The 16,203-nt window shown below is 32.0% G+C and overlaps 1 protein-coding gene across 2 annotated transcripts in view; it reads left to right on the top strand.

The window, feature by feature from the left end:
• Positions 1-16,203, top strand: part of GABRG1 (gamma-aminobutyric acid type A receptor subunit gamma1) — an 88,286-nt gene that overhangs the window by 44,584 nt on the left and 27,499 nt on the right. Inside the window, exons 1-3 of one of the 2 annotated variants that reach the window (XM_017007990.2) lie at positions 96-240; positions 13,887-14,107; positions 14,948-15,030. In XM_017007990.2, the coding sequence (XP_016863479.1) occupies positions 13,953-14,107; positions 14,948-15,030 (238 nt within the window). In that variant the 5' untranslated portion in view covers positions 96-240; positions 13,887-13,952. Of the gene's footprint in view, positions 1-95; positions 241-13,886; positions 14,108-14,947; positions 15,031-16,203 lie in introns of those variants that run through there. The other variant, NM_173536.4, reaches the window with a different exon arrangement.

Raw genomic sequence — 16,203 nt, 5'->3', positions numbered from 1 at the left:
AATCGCAAAAGTGATATATCACACAGTCCTAGAATATACTTCTGAAACTAGATAGAATCTTCCTGCTGGAAATTGAAACTGGGTAGAATCTTCCTGCTAGAAATTCTGATTCCTCTTAGTAACGGAGACAGGGCTGAGGAACAAGGGCACCAGTTACGAAGACGACAATTTAAAAAGGAGCTGGGAAGTCACCTGGGCTATACTTCAAAATAAGTGCATGCTGGAGAGGACTACAAAGGGGTGAGCAGTAGGCAAAGAGGATCAGGCTAACTTAGCAAATGACAGAATGCTTTCATTCTGGCCTGTGCAGAAATATGTAACAGGAATGCCCATTTTCAGAATCTTTTTTAACAGAAAACGAAAATCGAATTGCTTTCTACAAAAGGAAAAAAAAAAAACAAAACTTTTTAAACAAAAATGTATGTGGAGCTACAGAAGTCACAAACATTATTTATTATAGAATGTAAATGAGGGATTTTTCTCAATAATATTGTTTTTCCTTTATTTAAGTGAAATGGCCAAGTATCCAACCTTAATGTAGATAGGCTATGATTACTAACCCATAAAAAACTAGAAAAAATTGTAACCAATTCAAGACTGTCTACCTTGAGGTATCTATCTTGAAGTGTCAAAAAATTCAAAAAATTTTTTAATTTGTTTTATAAAAATTCAAAATATTCACTTTCAATATTTGACCAAAATCTATGGTCAAATAGCTTTAAGAGGCAGTTCAAAATGGTGAGAACTGACTTTTAAGTAAGCCTCTTTAACTTTTCAAACTCATTTTGATAATAAACTCTCAAGACATATAACTTGTATTTAAGCATTCTAAACATATGGAGAAAACTGGTGCTCATAGAGATATTCTTTCCATATAATTTATTCCATTGCAAGAAACACATGTTTCTAGGGTGGTTCATGCAATTGGTTCCGGCATTCCATAGGCTGATCTCTTTCTCACCCTCTCTTTTTCTCCCTGCCACCCTCCCTTTCTCTGTCCCTCTCTCCCTTGTATGTTTCTGGGCTTCTAGTTTTAGGAGATAAAACCTTTAGCTATAGTTTCTACACATCAAAGAAACCCTTTTTATTCATTTTACTATATTAACTGGAAAGAGGCAATTCTTGCCAAGTACATTAGCTTGAAGAATTTTGAAATGGCAAATGCTTGGAAATAAGATTTTGTTTGCTATTTAGATAACTGACCTGCATATGCCAATGGTGGGGAAGAAAAAGGTATTAGTCTTCTTAGATGTGATTAATTGCAGTACTTTAGGAAACACATTTGTATTTTTAAAATCTATTATAAGTTTATTTTCTTGGTGTTTGCAGTATTTTAAAGCTTGAAACTATGGTTTTAATTTCTTTTCTTCTGCATATATTAACTTTTTGTCACTACATAAAATATATTTTTTAACAGATCTTATTTTAAAATAATAAAAAATTTAGTTACTTTTGATTCAACATTTATAGAGAAAAAATTAAATATTAGAAATAAATAAAAGTCATTTTCATCGCTGTTTCTTTTATCCAGTGTGTTCATTGACTCTATAAATATGAAGTGAAAGTTCCTAGTATTAGGAAATTAGATTAACCTTAGAATCTCTAAAAATTATCAAAATAATTTTATTTCTTAATTCAAATACACATTTTATATGTATATATATATTTCATTGTTTTATTTGTCTGTCATATATTTATTTACCATTTATTATAGTGACAATTGGTTCATTGTTAAAAAAAGATATCAGAAAAGATATGTCATCCTTTCTTCAGAAGACATAAAACCTAGCAGGGAAGATGACTAAAAATGCAAATTAGACTGAGAGAGAAGGGAAAAGGCAAAAAAAATTCTGTGTGTGAAGTTATACCTATTTTAAATTGTAAATGGTGATCCTAATGCTATTTTCTTCTAAAGATGTTCTTCATAAAAATAGTTTTTTATTATAAAAGAAATACATACTCAACCAAGAAAATTAGAAATTTAATTTAGATAGAAGAAAAAATTTAAAATATCCTGAAATATTATATCTAGTGGTCACCATTGTTATGATCATAACTTTATGTACATAGTTTTACCCAATGCTTTATTAACCTCACTGTTTTATAGTATTATGTTTTTCTATGTGTTATACTATGTCATTACTTTTTTTAAAAATATTTTATTGCTATTATTATACTTTAAGTTTTAGGGTACATGTGCACAACGTGCAGGTTTGTTACATATGTATACATGTGCCATGTTGGTGTGCTGCACCCATTAACTTGTCATTTAGCATTAGGTATATCTCCTAATGCTATCCCTCCCCCCTCCCCCTACCCCACAACAGTCCCCAGTGTGTGATGTTCCCCTTCCTGTGTCCATGTGTTCTCATTGTAAATAATATGCAACATTTAACGGATTTTTTAAAAGTAATGATATACTATGTCATTACTTTTAAGAAATCCGTTAAATGTTGCATATTATTTAGTAATGAATTATTTTACATGTGGAATAGTTCCAATTTGCTGTAATTAAGAGTAATATTATTATTAAATATTTTAGCCACCATTATTATTTCTTCAGGCTATATATATACACACCCTAGACCTCTCAGATTTTGGTCAAATATTGAAAGTGAATATTTTGAATGCCTAGAAAACAAATTCAAAAATTTTTTGAATTTTTTGAAACTTCAAGATAGATACCTCAAGGCAAACAGTCTTGAATTGGTTACAATTTTTTTAGTTTTTTATGGGTTAGTAATCATAGAATGTTGTAGAATGTACTGCTTGGTAATTCTGGCCTCAGGGCAGGTTTGTGGGCAATGTTCTGACAGAATGAATGTCTAGTTTGCTTCAGCTCATGACTATCATAAATGTACTTAAAACTTGGTTTTTGGCCTTGCTTTAACTGGCTGCTCCAAGTCACTATTCCAAATCTCAGATGTTATAGCTGATTCAAACATACTCTTATGATTCCTAATTTTTTACACCTTTATTTACCCATTTATTTATCAGAAAAGAGTGACTTTGCTAATAATAAAAACACACATCCAACCATACATATCTAAGAAAAAGTAATTTAGCATATATATATATATATATATATATATATATATATATATATATGAACATGACCTAAGATAAATTTAGGTAGTTCATATTTTGTCATGTTAGGAGATTACATTCTAAAACTGTGTAGAGATACATATGTTAGTTGAATGTTAAAAACCAAAATTTCCTTAAATGTACATATGCATACACGCACAAACACACATATTTTCATATAGATTTTAGTATAAAGAGCTACTGTTTAGAAAAATGGTAGCCTCCATGATTCAGATTGAAGAGTCCTAGACAATTTTTCTCATCTGTAGATTTTTTAATTTATAGGATTGTATGGGGTACAAGTATAATTTTGTCACATGGATAGGTTGTGCTGTGGTGAAGTCAGGCTTTTAGGGTAGCCATCATCACAATAATGTACATTTACCCGTTAAGGAATTTATTATCTTCCTCACCACTCTGCCACTCCACCCTCCTGAATCTCCATTGTCTCTCATTCCACACACTACATCCATGTGTACAGAGTTTTACGTTCCCACTTATAAATGGAAATATTTGTATTTATCTTTCTTTATCTGAGTTGTTTCACTCAATGGCCTCCAGTTCCATCCATGTTGCTGCAAAAGATATTATATAAACTCCAAAATGCACTTAAATGTCCTGGAATTCTGCAATTAGATAGAATTTTCTTTATATAGCAAGGACCTTTCTTTCTTTCTTCTTTTATTTGATTTTTTAAATTTTTTGTAGATATTTACACCCTGGTAAAGAAATGGAATATAAAGCCATAGTTTTTCAAACCTTCATAACCCCAAATGATAGACAGGAAAAAGGCAATTTTGTGAAAAAGAAAAAACCAAGTTCTCAGGCCAGGGGATTCGGATACAGTAATCTCAGATGGAGTCCTGGAATTAGAATTTTGAAAATGCTGGCTGGGCACAGTGGCTCACGCCTGTATTCCTAGCACTTCAGGAGGCCGAGGCGGGAGGATCACCTGAGCTCAGGAGTTCAAAACCAGCTCGGGCAATACAGTGAGCTCTTGCCTCTAATTTTTTAAAATAAAATTCTAAGTAAAATTTTAAAATAAAATGTTCAAAGTAAAAAAGTTAAAAATTAACAAAAAGAATTTTGAAAGTGCTTATCAGAGAATTCTAGTCAACCAGGTTTGGAGATTACTAGTCTAGGCCATTTTCACCTATAAATTTAGTAGGGATTAGGTAGGATTAAAGGAAAGTAAACAATGGTACTTACGGACTGAAAGTATTTGTATGAGGAAGAGTCATTGAAAGAAACCGTGTTCATCTTAGGCTTTATCCCTCCTTATAGGTAGGACTTTTTAAAATATATATATATTAATTTCTAATATTTTATAATGTTTTCATGATCATAGAGTCTTAGAGCTGGGAAATATAATAATTATGATCTTGCCTTTTGCCCACATTTCGCCAATAAGAGTGTATAAGTGACTCAGTCAGCACCCTACTCTAGTAAGTCTCAGAATCAGAATTATGACAAAATTTTCCCATTCCATCCAATCAGTGTTCTTTGTACTACACATTACTCTTACTGTAATGCATACTTTGGATATATTCAGTATTTGTTCTATTGATTATCTGGAAAGTATTTAAAATTATGTACGTAATTAAAAGACAATACCTTATCCCTTATTCAATGTGTTATTTTTATATCTAGCAAAGGCTTAAAACAATGTAGTAAAGGTTTGTCTTAGATTGGCAATGAATTTGAACTAACACCAGCTGCTCTTCAGTTTAATTAAAATGTGAAGCAGAGAAAACTTATTTAAATATCTTGACTTCGGACATTTTGTTATAATAAAAATTGTAACAAATTACCATAACTGAAATTGTTAAAACTGTATGATAAGCCTTGGATTTCCTGGTAGGGGTACCTAGCTTTGTGACATGTGCAATAGGATTCAAACTCCTCAGGTAAACAGAAGCAGCAAGTGCTTCCGACAGCAGTGCAAATAATGCCCCACTAGCAGGATACAATGTTGGAAAGTTTTTCATTTTCTGCAGCTGGACTGTGGACAACAGTAAGCATTTTATAAACTGGTAATAATATAAATAATTTAAAACATGAGTCACGTGGACTATTTCTAAATATATCATTTCCAAATATAGTGTTCTCTCTTGCTCAGATGGACAGACTAATTCAGACATCAAGAAAATATTTTTAGTACAGGGCAGTCACAGATGTAGAAACACTTTTCCCATTCAGATCATACAGCAATTAATCTAGCTGTTTAGCACTGAACCAATCTATAACAAATGTTGCACATGTGGATAGAAAGCAAGTTTGCCTATTGGCTATGAAGCTTTTCTAGGAAGCAGAACCTTCATCTGAATATCAATCATTTGTCACAGAGAACTTCTTATCATGCTGTTAATTGGTAATAAACTGTAATGGGGAAGTATAGTTTGAGTGTGTTTATACAATAGTCCCTCCTTATCTGTGGTTTTGCTTTCTGTGGTTTCAGTTACCCATGGTCAACAATGATCCAAAAATAGGTGAACACAGTACAGTAAGATATTTTGAAAAGAAGGTAGAGATCACATTCATAGAACTTTCAGTACAGTATTTTGTTATTAAAATTATATTGTATCATTCATTGTTGTCAGTCTCTTATTGTGCGTAATTTATCAGTTGAACATTATCATAGGTACTTATGTATAGGAAAAAACATGGTATATATAGGGTTCCCAACTATTCAAGATTGCAGGCATTCAATGGGGATCTTGGAATGTATCCCCATGAATAAAGGGGATCTTTTGTATATTTGTTACCATACTATGTTTCATACTTAGGAAGCGTGCTCCATGCAAGTTAGACTTATTCAATCATTTATTCATCCAAATAACCCACAGTGATAACATAGATACAAATGCCATGAAAGTAAAAAACAAGATAAAAGAAAGGTAAGTATGAAATAAGTGACCAAAACTACTAATTGTCAAAATATAAATTTCATTTCTCTGGTTTAAAAATTTTTGCCTCATATGGATGACCTGAGTTACGGTAAAGAGTTTAAAATTGTGGAGTACATGATCAGAATCTCTTACACGTTCTATGATCTTGGAAAGGCTTCCTTGTATCTCAATTAAAATGAGGGAAAAGCAGGAAAAAATGAGAAGATAGAGCTTGGCAATATAGAATAGTCACTGGGCAAAAACAATTTGATGGAATCTGGAAAGCAAATGAAAATATTGTGAAGGGAATTACATTAGCTTTCCCTGCTTAAATGAAAGGCTATCAAATATATATTTATTTAAATTTAATAAAGGTTTATGGAAACATTTCTAATTTATCAAAAATAGTAGGCATGTTTTTGGATAATTATTTTTTAAATTATTTTATGGCATATGACAACTCTTGACATAAACTAACTTCATGAAATTCTTTACTCTTTTGCCAGATTGCTAGATTTTAAATAAAAATTATATTATCATAAATATATCTAAAATCTGTCAAATATTAGTATTTTTACTAAGAACTGCTCCGTTTTAAATCAGTATTGAATCTCAGCAGAGGCAAAGTAAGTTTAAAATAGGTTTAAAAAACAGGTAAACACACTTCTATTATATCTCACTTAATTAAAAAATTCATCGCACATGCGAAGCTAGCATCACAATGGTTTTTCTGCCCTTATTTTCTTGAAACATCACTCAATACTCTTATGTTTTCAGTGTAGATCACTTCTTTTCAGATTTCATGGTCATTCAGATCAAGTTCAAAGTGCAGAAAAATAAACAGAGACAATAATCTATAGGTAATGGATTTTTAATATATTACATCCACTCAATTGAGAAATATGAAGCAAACTTCAGAGAGACCAAGAGATGGAACAAAATGACAAGAATACAGATTTTCATAGAGAACATGAGATGGAGGAATATGTTCCTTCTTGCCACAGTATAAATTGTCCCTTGTCTGGAAAAGAAACACATGGATAATTTTTATAAAAGCGTTCTCAATCCATGGGTGTCTATTCCTACTGTTAATAGCTCTGTGATGGTTAATTTTACATGTCAACTTAGCCAGGCTATGGTGCCCAAATACAGTTATGTATCACTTAATGACAGAGACACATTATAAGAAATGTATCTTTAGTCAATTTCACCATTGTGGAAACATCACAGAATGTATTTACACAAACCTACATGGTATAGTCTACTACATACTGTGGCTGTATCATATAGCCCAATGCTTCTAGGATACAAACCTGTAAAGAATATTATTAAACTGAATGTCACAGGTAATTGTAACACAATAAGCATTTGCATATCTAAACATACCTAAACATAGAAAAATACAGTAAAAATATGGTATAAAAGATAAAAATGGTATACCTGCATAAGAGGCTTATTACTGAAGGCTTGCAGACAGGGAAGTTGCTCTGGGTGAGTCAGTGAGTGAGTGGTGAGTGAATGTGAAGGCCTGGACATTACTTTGCACTACTTTAGACCTTATAAACACTGTGCACTTAGAATACACTAAATTAATTTTTTAATTTCTTTCTTCAATAACAAATTATTATCAGCTTACTGAATTTTTTATTTTATAAATTTATTATAAGTTTGACATTTTCATAACAGCTTAAAAACATTTTACAACTGTACAAAGTATTTTCTTTGTGTCATTATTTTGTAAGCTTTTGCTTTTTTCAATTTTTTTTTTAGCTTTTTCAACATTTTGTTAAAAACTAAAAATCCTACACATTAGTCTACATGGTCAGAATCATCATCATTACTGTCCTCCACCTCCACATCTTGTCCCACTAGAAGGTCTTCAGGGGCAATAACATGCATAAAGCTGTCATCTGATCTGATAACAATACGTCGTCTGGAATACCTACTGAAGGACTTGCCTGAGGATGTTTTACAGTTAACATATATAATGGTACATATACATATTGTATACAAATACATAAATACATCATATACATTACATTATAATATATTTATATATTATATATATAACATATGTGTGTGTATTTTCATTTATGTATTTATTATGCTATACTTTCTGTCATTTTACAGTTAACATATATATGTGTTATGTATATATATAATACAGTTAACATATATATTTGTTGTGTCTGTGTGTGTATAAAGTAGAAAGAGGATAATCTGAAATAATGATAGAAATTATTGTATGGTAAATATGTAAACCAGTATTAAGTTAGTTATTTATTACCATTACCATTACCAAATACTATGCACTGTGCATAATTGTGTGTATTATACTTTTAAACAACTGGCAGCATAATAGGTTTGTTTATATCAGCATCACCAGAAAGACGTAAGTAATCTGTTGTGCTAGGACGTTAGAATGGCCACAACATCACTAGGTGATGGGAATTTTTCAGCTGCATTGTAATTTTATGGTACCAACGTTGTACATCATTGACTGAAAATGTCATTAGGCAGTGCATGACTGTATTTGGCTAAATTCCAGTTCAGATGTTGCTGTGAAGGTATTATTTAGATGTGATTCACATTGAAATCAGTAGTTTTTGAGTAAACAGTTTACCCTCTATAATGTAGTTGGGCCTCAACCAGTCAGATGAGCACTTTAAAGATTGACTGAGGTTCCTCTAGGAAGAAGAGACTCAGGCTGCAGACTGCCTTTGGCTTCAAGACTGAATCATAAACTCTTCCCTGGCTCCCTAACTACCAGTCTTCCCTGCACATTTTGCACTTTCCAGCCCCTACAATATCACATGATTCAACTCTCTTTTCCCTTTCTCTCTTTCATCTATCTATCCCTCTACCTATCAGTCAGCATCTATATGCCCACCTATTTATCCCGTTGGCTGTGTTTCTATGGAGTACCTTTACTAATACAAGCTCACAAGAATAGCTTGCTCCAAACCCAGAATTCAGGTACTCAGGTACTATATATATTCCAAGGTCTGGAAGCTGACCTTGTCCTATTTTATTGTAACTTCTTAAGAACTGGGAGTTCATTCATAGGGTTTATAAAACCCTACAGATTGCATTACTTCATGGTCTATTTTATATAGTTTAACTGTTCTGTGAATATAATGTTTGATATTTTACTCTTTTGATTTTTATACAGAATATTATATAATATATATTCTGGAAATATAGTTATATATTTCCAGTAGGAAATGTTGATTGAGCATGATGCAGAAAATTAACACATGAAGTGCTAGGATTTTCAGTTCATTATTCTCAGTGCAGTGTTCAGAGCTGTTTCTAGGCTGCAGGGTCAATCATTGGAAATTGGTAATTTTAGATAATAGTTGCTAAAAAGCTCTTCCAGATGTAGGATACCCTGTGTATTTGAGGAATGTACATTCCCTGACATACAGAAGATGTCTACTTTTTCATTATATATGGCTTGCATTCTTTATTTTCCATCCCGCCCTGCCCTTTACTGCCTCTTTGTCCTCTCCCTTCCCTCCACCATTTACTAATTGGTGCATAAATCAAAATATTTCCAAATCTTACAGGTTTCAGGTTAAATGCAACATCTGTCGTGAAATCTTTCTTAAGTTCCCCTAACTAAAAATAATCTCTACTATTTCTATTTCTCTTTATACCCCTTCTACATTTTATTAATTTCCAATTTTATGATGTATATGTTCATACCAAGAAGGTTCCATTTTCGTCTTTGTAAACCAAGTACATTATAAAACTAACAAGAACACTGAAAAATGTCTGCTAAAAATTTAATTGATGAATGCACACGATGCTATGTGCCTTTGGCAATCTACATTCATAGATATAAAAAGAGAGCACAAAGGGTTAGTAGCTGAATCCAGAATATGTGTCTACTTTTTGAATCTCTCTCCTGTATTGCTGATGACTTCAATGATTTAAGCAATTGGCATAACCTCTTTGTTCCCTATTTCTTTTTCTATTTCAAACATAGAATAACACCAAGTTTTGTATTTACCTCTTCCTGCTAGAATTCAGAAGCTGGTGCTTTTACAATAATTAAGCAAACTGGAGCTGATACCTATAAAATTTTACCACTAAAGGTATTTAATTGTCCTATGGATTAGCTGTACTTGTACTTTTTCTCTACATGTCTATAGCTCCATTACTGCTAAAAATTATTAGGTCCACCGTTCTCTTCTGGCCATGTGACTAGACAGTTTTGGAAGAGATTAATGCCAACATAGGAATAATAAATCAGGATCAATCAAATTTTATGATGAAATTATGCACCTAGGTTAATTGCTTTGGCAGGTCTTGAATTTTTTGTGAAGTTTCTCCCATTACTAGAAAGACAGTAATATTGAATTAACTGGTAATTTGAAATGTGAGATACAGTGCTTAATTGCAAACTGACAATGTAGTAATGAGACTGCACTACACACTTATCAATTATTATTTGATTTTATTAAGTTAGGAATCAAAATGGCTCACTTCACATTTATTCACTAATGCTGTTTTGTCAGCTAACTTGCAAGGAGATACAGCACATTTTGTAAAGTACATTGGATGTCAAATTTTAAATGCACTGTTCCTTATCTCAAAATGTTTATCTTAGAAACTCTTGTATTTTCGTTCTGAGTAAACAGAAGTTCGATTTTATGTTTTTCTTTTGCTTATTTCTTGTGTAGATCATTATAACCTGTGAACAGGAACATGAAGTACAAGAGCAGTTTGGTCGTTTGCTGGAAATTACACTAATACAAAACTGGATTTTTTTTTATTACGTGTAACATGGCATAGATTTTAATGGTCTTCTTATTTCAGTGAGGCATTTATTAAAAATTAGCAATTTAAAAGGGCTTATAAGTATTAGCTTCTGCAAAGGGCTTGGGATGGATGGATTATCAAGACATATGCTCTGAGTCTTTCTCTTCTTGATATTAGATTGAGGGGACAACTGTGAGTAGAAAACTTTTTCCATTTCTGATCCTTTGGAAATCATAAGTCTTCCAACAGTGATTAACACTTCCAGAATCAGGGATTTTAAAGAAGGTCCTGCAGCTGCTAAGCAGTATTGACAGCTGCTTTGGAAATCCCAGCCTTAGACAAATTGGTTCTCAAGTGCCACATTTAATGCCCTGTGAATTAGGAATACTGCAGCTAAGTATAACTGCCAAGTAGCATTACATTCCCTCTACCAACCAGTGTTGAATATTTGCCTAGCCGCAATCCTTACTGGTATCTTAAGTAGTTTCTGCTGTTTGATCCTATGCAACAGTACAACATAATTCTGGCAAATAAAGTTGACTAAATGCTCTTTCCAGGGCATTTAGTTTACCATAGTAGAGTTTGAGCCTTCTGTCTATTTGTATTTGCCATTAAAATTAGACATCATGTCATTAGCGTAGGTTACATGGTTAGACTGAATGGTTAGTCATTTGTGTCAGGTGAAGAGGCTGCTTGGCTAAATTATAATTGATTCCAAAGACAAAACATCTGGCCTGAGACACAGGCAGGCAGAGTGGGGATTAATGATAACTTCAGTGAAGTTGTCCAAGAATTTTTCACAAGGTTCAAAGAATAGGTACACCAGTGATGTTGTGTATAAGGGTCTCTTGGACCTCCTAAATGCATGCACAATTTATGTGTTACTCCATTAATATTACTCAATAAGATGATTAAACATCTACAGCGTAAATACGAATTACTATGTATTATGGGATGCGGTTTGCCTTATGACTCAGCCTGTGCTTTAAACACAGTATATAAGCAAGGGTGTGGCTATCAGATTTATAAGGCTTACATGGTTGCAAAAGTACTTTCAGTCCATATTCCACAGCACAGTTTGATCTGTGCCATCCCATATTAAGTTGCAAAAAATAAAATTTTAATTATCTCCCTAAGTTACTCTAGCACAGCAATCAAAATTATGTAAAGAGAGGGTCATGATGCAAGCATTTTTGTGCACAAAAACTTCATATTTTAAATCCATTCAAAACAATGACTGACATAATATAGATGTTAAATATATAGGTAGACTATTGAATGATTACACATTACTTCATTATATGAATAAATTATTCAGAATTATAAGTGTATATATTTTAAGCCCTTTATAAAACATACATCTCATACTCAATTACATAGTTTCTGGTACCTATTGGATTTTAAATAATTATTATGTATATGCTTTTCCAGAATTGTAACACTGTTCATCAAAAATAGATAAAATGAGGTAGCTTCTCAATTTATTTTTATATTCCAGTTAAGCAAATTGTAATTATAAGTAGTATGCCTGGAACCTAGGATTTGATCCAACTTCCCTATAAATAAGTTGAATCTAGTTTGTTTACTTATGAACCACTTGTAATTTTTTTTTCCATTTTTCATTTATTGGCCACTTCCCCAATTGTACTTCCATTTCTTATATTAAATATTTTCCTTCAGGAAAATTGGCCAATTGCTAATACGACATCAAGTGCAAGTAATCAATCTCTCCCACCAGAAGTAACTTATATAATACCTATTTTTCAATTTACTTATTCTTTTAAATATCAAAAGTATATACATACACATGCAAACATACATACACACACATATATACACACACATATATACACGCACACATAAATATATATAGTACATATATATAATATATATGTATATTTATTTCCTTTCCTCTATGGCATTGATTACTGCTGCATTCTTGTTCATTTTATATATGTTAAATGCCTGTAATATGGCAGACATTTTGTCAGGATACAAAGGTAGATAATATCTAATCATCTACTCTTGAAGGTTCTCTGTTAATTGTGGAATTTCCTAATTACAGTTACTATGGACAAAGGCTTTGCTCTAACCTTGGAACCCATCAGACTTCACTATAACCACCATTATATGCATTTGTTATGGATGTGGACTTGGGATTTAGCCTGCAGTGGCTCAGTTTCCATATCAACTGCTTATTAGTTCTGTGATGTGAGAAGAATTATTTTATATTTCTATTAATAGATGTTACTGAAAAATAATGATTATAGTAGTACATATTTCACAGAGTTGCAATAAAGATTTAGTGAGATGAACATGCAAAGCTCTTAACATATGTTTGGCATTTTATAATTGCTCAGTAAGTTAGTTTGTGGTTGCTTTAAAACATTTAAAAACAGTAGATATAAATAATTGGAATTAACTTTTTAGACAAAAAACAATGTAAGGGCTCTTAAAAAATTTGGTTGTTTTTTGCGTCTAGTTTCTTTTTTGTTTATGTGACTTAAACTGTATGTATAAATTAATATAATTGTTGACATTAAGATAACTTGCTTTTAAGTTTAATGAGTACATCCTACATACTACAAAATCTTGAGTAAAATTCACACACAAAAAATAAAAAATAATAAAGCCAACTGTGCAACAATAACTACTTGAAATCTTGGATTTCATTTTACATGACTCATGCAAACAGAAAGAAAGTTTAGGCCGTGTGCGGTGGCTCACGCCTGTAATCCCAGCACTTTGGGAGGATGAGCCGGGCAGATCACGAGGTCAGGAGATCGAGACCATCCTGGCTAACACGGTGAAACCCCCTCTCTACTAAAAATACAAAAAATTAGCCAGGCGTGGTGGCGGGTGCCTGTTGTCCCAGCTCCTCCGGAGGCTGAGGCAGGAGAATGGCGTGAACCCGGGAGGCGGAGCTTGCGGTGAGCCGAGATTGCATCACTGCACTCCGGCCTGGGAGACAGAGCGAGACTCTGTCTCAAAAAAAAAGTTTAAAATAATGGCATTTTTTTCCTCCGAAAAGACTGAGTTTAACTGTTACTTGCAGAAACTTTACAATACAAAAATTCAAACTTTCGAGAAAAACAACTAAAATAGTAGCTTTACTAATATGTTGTTACTCTTCTTATATTTTAGGAATATACAATAGATATAATTTTTGCCCAAACCTGGTTTGACAGTCGTTTAAAATTCAATAGTACCATGAAAGTGCTTATGCTTAACAGTAATATGGTTGGAAAAATTTGGATTCCTGACACTTTCTTCAGAAACTCAAGAAAATCTGATGCTCACTGGATAACAACTCCTAATCGTCTGCTTCGAATTTGGAATGATGGACGAGTTCTGTATACTCTAAGGTAATATTGGTTTAAAAATCTGTAGTTGCTCTCATTTATTTTCCATACTAATATTTAATCAATTCTTAATTTTTTATTTCTCAAAGTTGCAAAACCAAAAATGTGGAGCTCCTTTCACATGCTAAAATATAAAATGGTGAAATACTTTGGCAATACTTTTTTAAGCTCAGTTATTATTATGTGAAAAGGACTAAAAGCAAAGAGAAAAAATTCTTTGATTTTCTTCCTTTGAAGCAGAACAGGTTGCAGCATAAAGATTATGGTTTTCTTAACCTGCAGTGCAAATAATTGAGTAAGATTTCCTCTAGAAACCCACCCTGCTATAAAATTTTATAATACTCTAATTTTCAATGGTGTAGTAAAACATCCCTAAGAAAGGATTAAATGAAGGTTGATGTATAAGGTTCAAGTTTATTTAACTCATTGACTTAAACATATCTGCTTATTAAGAACCATCCTTCATGGAAAAGATATTCATAATAAACCAAGAGAAAAAATTACCATACTTAACCATTTATAATCTGTTAATCTGCTATGTTTGCATATGTGTGTTTGCTGACATATTGAAGTATGAATTATTATGTGTAAACACAGAGATCATATTGAAATGTATACAGAGGTAACCTAGTTGACTGAAGAGGAAATTGTTAGAATTCTGTCATATATAAATATTATAATATTATTGCTATTTAAGACTTTGAGACTTTAGAATCATTATTATATTCTAATAGGTCACAATCTATTATCATATGACAAAATCTTGTTTTAAAATGAGACAGGAGATTTTTAATGCTTCAAATTATTTATCTTTATTTAATACTTTTCTTTCCATCTAAATAGATTGACAATTAATGCAGAATGTTATCTTCAGCTTCATAACTTTCCCATGGATGAACATTCCTGTCCACTGGAATTTTCAAGCTGTAAGTAACAAAACACTTGATAATTTCATAGAATTTTAACCTTAGAAGCTGTTTATTTAAAAATGAAAAGAAAGAAAATAAAATAGGATTTTCAAAAGTGTGAGTTATGTTCAATTCTTTTAGATAAAATAATTACAAATAATATATTTGCTTCTTGCTTTTAAACTAAAAGTTTACAATAAATGTGTTATGAATGCATATATTTTATTAAAACATTCTTTATAACTTTTAATTTTATTCCAATGCTATTTGCTTATTTTTATTAAATAAAGGAGTATTGAAAATAGGTTTGTATTCAAATGTTTTTACACAGTCCCCAAGAAAAGGTGATTCAAATTATATTCATGTTCCTGGAGGCAAGATTTAACTTTATTACATTAGATTTTGAAATGTGTTTCAAAAATTGGTTAGGCAAATAGTATTTACCATACGAATAGCAAATATTTGAGACTACTTTAATAAGGTAGAAAAACCAAGGTAGAAATAAGTTGATTTAATTAAAAAAGATTGATTCATAGAGAAGTGGTTAGAGGTGAATAATTAGAGTATAAAAACCGGGTATATTCTTATCCTTTGCCCACTTTTTGGTGGGGTTGTTTGTTTTTTCTTGTAAATTTGTTTGAGTTCATTGTAGATTCTGGATATTAGCCCTTTGTCAGATAAGTAGGTTGCAAAAATTTTCTCCCATTTTGTAGGTTGCCTGTTCACTCTGATGGTAGTTTCTTTTGCTGTGCAGAAGCTCTTTAGTTTAATTAGATCCCATTTGTCAATTTTGGCTTTTGTTGCCATTGCTTTTGGTGTTTTAGACATGAAGTCCTTGCCCATGCCTATATCCTGAATGGTAATGCCTAGGTTTTCTTCTAGGGTTTTTATGGTTTTAGGTTTAAGTCTTTAATCCATCTTGAATTAATTTTTGTATAAGGTATAAGGAAGGGATCCAGTTTCACCTTTCTACATATGGCTAGCCAGTTTTCCCAGCACCATTTATTAAATAGGGATTTATTAAATAGGGGAAAGGATTTTCCCCATTGCTTGTTTTTCTCAGCTTTGTCAAAGATCAGATAGTTGTAGATATGTGGCGTTATTTCTGAGGGCTCTGTTCTGTTCCGTTGATCTATATCTCTGTTTTGGTACCAGTACCATGCTGTTTTGGTTACTGTAGCCTTGTAGTAT

Source organism: Homo sapiens, chromosome 4, assembly GCF_000001405.40.
Source record: "Homo sapiens chromosome 4, GRCh38.p14 Primary Assembly".
Lineage (NCBI taxonomy): Eukaryota > Metazoa > Chordata > Mammalia > Primates > Hominidae > Homo > Homo sapiens.
This window is presented reverse-complemented; position numbering and strand designations above follow the sequence as displayed.